This window comes from Homo sapiens, chromosome 2 (assembly GCF_000001405.40).
Source record: "Homo sapiens chromosome 2, GRCh38.p14 Primary Assembly".
Classification (NCBI taxonomy): Eukaryota; Metazoa; Chordata; class Mammalia; order Primates; family Hominidae; genus Homo; species Homo sapiens.
In genome coordinates this window covers 165,707,197-165,711,582 of record NC_000002.12, presented here as the reverse complement: position 1 = coordinate 165,711,582, position 4,386 = coordinate 165,707,197, and the positions used below count along the sequence as shown (strand labels likewise).

The following is a 4,386-nucleotide window of genomic DNA, read 5'->3' as shown; positions in this document are numbered from 1 at the left end:
AAAACTCTGCTCAAAGCCGCTTTACTTCCAAAAGAAGCTGGGGTCATTCACTGCAAGGGGCATCAAAAGGCATCAGATCCCATTGCTCTAGGCAATGCTTATGTTGATAAAGTGGCTAGACAAGCAGCTAGCTCTCCAACTTCTGTCCCTCACGGCCAGTTTTTCTCCTTCACTTCAGTCACTCCCACCTACTCCCCCACTGAAACTTCCACCTATCAATCTCTTCCCACACAAGGCAAATGGTTCTTAGACCAAGGAAAATATCTTCTTCCAGCCTCACAGGCCCATTCTATTCTGTCATCATTTCATAACCTCTTCTATGTAGGTTACAAGCCGCTAGCCCGTCTCTTAGAACCTCTCATTTCCTTTCCATCATGGAAATCTATCCTCAAGGAGATCACTTCTCAGTGTTCCATCTGCTATTCTACTACCCCTCAGGGATTGTTCAGGCCTCCTCCCTTCCCTACACATCAAGCTCGGGGATTTGCCCCTGCCCAGGACTGGCAAATTGACTTTACTCACATGCCTCGAGTCAGAAAACTAAAATATCTCTTAGTCTGGGTAGACACTTTCACTGGATGGGTAGAGGCCTTCCCCACAGGGTCTGAGAAGTCCACTGTGGTCATTTCTTCCCTTCTGTCAGACATAATTCCTCGGTTTGGCCTTCCCACCTCTATACAGTCTGATAACGGACCAGCCTTTACTAGCCAAATCACCCAAGTAGTTTCTCAGGCTCTTGGTATTCAGTGGAACCTTCATACCCCTTACCGTCCTCAATCTTCAGGAAAGGTGGAACGGACTAATGGTCTTTTAAAGGCACACCTCACCAAGTTTAGCCTCCAACTTACAAAGGATTGGACAGCACTTTTACCTCTTGCTCTTCTCAAAATCAGAGCCTGTCCTCGAGATGCTACAGGATACAGTCCATTTGAACTTTTATATGGACGCACTTTCTTGCTTGGCCCCAACCTCATCCCAGACACCAGCCCTCTAGGCGACTATCTTCCAGTACTCCAGCAGGCTAGACAGGAAATTCGCCAGGCTGCTAATCTTCTCTTGCCTACTCCAGATCCCCAGCCATATGAAGACAACCTAGCTGGACGATCAGTTCTTGTTAAGAATCTGACCCCTCAAACTCTACAACCTCGATGGACCGGACCCTACTTAGTCATCTATAGTACCCCGACTGCCGTCTGCCTGCAGAATCCTCCCCACTGGGTTCACCATTCCAGAATAAAGCTGTGTCCATCGGACAGCCAGCCTAATCCCTCCTCTTCCTCCTGGAAGTCGCAAGTACTCTCCCCCACTTCCCTTAAACTCACTCATATTTCTGAAGAACAGTAATAACCCTTATGAGCCTAATACATCCCTTCATTCTATTAGGTCTGTTCATCCTTACCCTACTTTTTGCAACAGGGCTTTACGAAGTCACCCCACCACTTAGGCCAAGCCCCAAAAAACTAGTCATCCCTATTATCTTCTGTCCGGTCATACTCCTATTCTCCATTCTCAACTACTTATAAATGCCCTACTCTTGTTTACACCGCCGGTTTACACTGTTTCTTCAAGCCATCACAGCTGATATCTCTTGGTGCTATCCCCAAACTGCCACTCTTAACTCCGTCTTAGAGTGGATAGATGATCTTTGCTGGCAAGGCACCCTCCAATACTTCCACCCTGATGAAGTTCTATTCTTTACTTTTATACTCACTCTTATTCTCATTCCCATTCTTATGTCATCCTCTACCTCTCCCCAGCTATCTCCACCACACTATCAACCTTACCCATTCTCTCCTAGCCGCTTCTAATCCCTCCTTAGTGAACAACTGCTGGCTTTGCATTTCCCTTTCTTCCAGTGCCTACACAGCTGTCCCCGCCTTACAGACAGACTGGGCAACATCTCCCATCTCCCTACACCTCCGAACTTCCTTTAACAGCCCTCACCTTTACCCTCCTGAAGAACTCATTTACTTTCTAGACAGGTCCAGCAAGACTTCCCCAGACATTTCACATCAGCAAGCTGCCGCCCTCCTTCGCACTTATTTAAAAAACCTTTCTCCTTATATCAACTCTACTCCCCCCATATTTGGACCTCTCACAACACAAACTACTATTCCTGTGGCCGCTCCTTTGTGTATCTCTTGGCAAAGACCCACTGGAATTCCCCTAGGTAATCTTTCACCTTCTCGATGTTCCTTTACTCTTCATCTCCGAAGTCCAACTACAAACATCAATGAAACAATTGGAGCCTTCCAGCTCCATATTACAGACAAGCCCTCTATCAATACTGACAAACTTAAAAACATTAGCAGTAATTATTGCTTAGGAAGACACTTGCCCTGTATTTCACTCCATCCTTGGCTATCTTCCCCTTGCTCATCAGACTCTCCTCCCAGGCCCTCTTCTTGTTTACTTATACCCAGCCCCGAAAATAACAGTGAAAGATTGCTCGTAGATACTCGACGTTTTCTCATACACCATGAAAATCGAACCTTCCCCTCTACGCAGTTACCCCATCAGTCCCCATTACAACCTCTGACAGCTGCCGCCCTAGCTGGATCCCTAGGAGTCTGGGTACAAGACACCCCTTTCAGCACTCCTTCTCACCTTTTTACTTTACATCTCCAGTTTTGCCTCGCACAAGGTCTCTTCTTCCTCTGTGGATCCTCTACCTACATGTGCCTACCTGCCAATTGGACAGGCACATGTACACTAGTCTTCCTTACCCCCAAAATTCAATTTGCAAATGGGACCGAAGAGCTCCCTGTTCCCCTCATGACACCGACACAACAAAAAAGAGTTATTCCACTAATTCCCTTGATGGTCGGTTTAGGACTTTCTGCCTCCACTGTTGCTCTCGGTACTGGAATAGCAGGCATTTCAACGTCTGTCATGACCTTCCGTAGCCTGTCTAATGACTTCTCTGCTAGCATCACAGACATATCACAAACTTTATCAGTCCTCCAGGCCCAAGTTGACTCTTTAGCTGCAGTTGTCCTCCAAAACCGCCGAGGCCTTGACTTACTCACTGCTGAAAAAGGAGGACTCTGCATATTCTTAAATGAGGAGTGTTGTTTTTACCTAAATCAATCTGGCCTGGTGTATGACAACATTAAAAAACTCAAGGATAGAGCCCAAAAACTTGCCAACCAAGCAAGTAATTACGCTGAACCCCCTTGGGCACTCTCTAATTGGATGTCCTGGGTCCTCCCAATTGTTAGTCCTTTAATACCCATTTTTCTCCTTCTTTTATTTGGACCTTGTATCTTCCGTTTAGTTTCTCAATTCATCCAAAACCGTATCCAGGCCATCACCAATCATTCTATACGACAAATGTTTCTTCTAACATCCCCACAATATCACCCCTTACCACAAGACCTCCCTTCAGCTTAATCTCTCCCGCTCTAGGTTCCCACACCGCCCCTAATCCCGCTTGAAACAGCCCTGAGAAACATCGTCCATTCTCTCTCCATACCACCCCCCAAAAATTTTTGCCGCCCCAACACTTCAACACTATTTTGTTTTATTTTTCTTATTAAGAAGGCAGGAATGTCAGGCCTCTGAGCCCAAGCCAAGCCATCGCATCCCCTGTGACCTGCACGTATATGCCCAGGTGGCCTGAAGTAACTAAAGAATCACAAAAGAAGTGAATATGCCCTGCCCCACCTTAACTGATGACATTCCACCACAAAAGAAGTGTAAATGGCCGGTCCTTGCCTTAACTGATGACATTATCTTGTGAAAGTCCTTTTCCTGGCTCATCCTGGCTCAAAAAGCACCCCCACTGAGCACCTTGTGACTCCCACTCCTGCCCACTGAGCACCTTGAGACCCCCACTCCTGCCCGCCAGAGAACAAACCCTCTTTGACTGTAATTTTCCTTTACCTTCCCCAAATCCTATAAAATGGCCCCACGCTTATCTCCCTTCACTGACTCTCTTTTCGGACTCAGCCCGCCTGCACCCAGGTGATTAAAAACTTTATTGCTCACACAAAGCCTGTTTGGTGGTCTCTTCACACGGACGCGCATGAAACAAACTAAATGAGAATTCTTATTTTATTTTCCCCAATGTTTTTTTCTTTAGATTTTTTTTTACCTAATTTCTTTCCCTCACACCTACCCATAACAGAGTTGTAGCTGAAACAGAAATTTAAAGAGAGAAAAATCAGCTAACATTTATTGATCCCTTATTGTGGGCAATGTTTTGTTTATAATCTTCAAACAGCTCTGTAGGCCTGTATTACTGGCTCCATTTTCCCCACTTGGGAAAGCCTCAGTGAGACATGGGACAGACTCAGATAAGTCAAACATCTTGGCCAAGTTTTTCCTGAAGGTGGGTGGCAGAGCTAGGATTTGAATTTAGATGGGTGTGACTACTCGGTAAGT

The 4,386-nt window shown here is 46.0% G+C and overlaps 2 annotated features.

Moving 5' to 3' along the window:
* Window positions 2,453-2,992: an enhancer, noted in NCBI's record as "NANOG-H3K27ac-H3K4me1 hESC enhancer chr2:166565101-166565640 (GRCh37/hg19 assembly coordinates)". NCBI's record gives its function as "activates a minimal SCP1, AML or CMV promoter by ChIP-STARR-seq in naive and primed H9 embryonic stem cells {active_cell/tissue: H9 hESC(naive and primed)}" and the evidence as "EXISTENCE:reporter gene assay evidence [ECO:0000049][PMID:30033119]".
* Window positions 3,535-4,076: an enhancer, noted in NCBI's record as "OCT4-NANOG-H3K27ac hESC enhancer chr2:166564017-166564558 (GRCh37/hg19 assembly coordinates)". NCBI's record gives its function as "activates a minimal SCP1, AML or CMV promoter by ChIP-STARR-seq in naive and primed H9 embryonic stem cells {active_cell/tissue: H9 hESC(naive and primed)}" and the evidence as "EXISTENCE:reporter gene assay evidence [ECO:0000049][PMID:30033119]".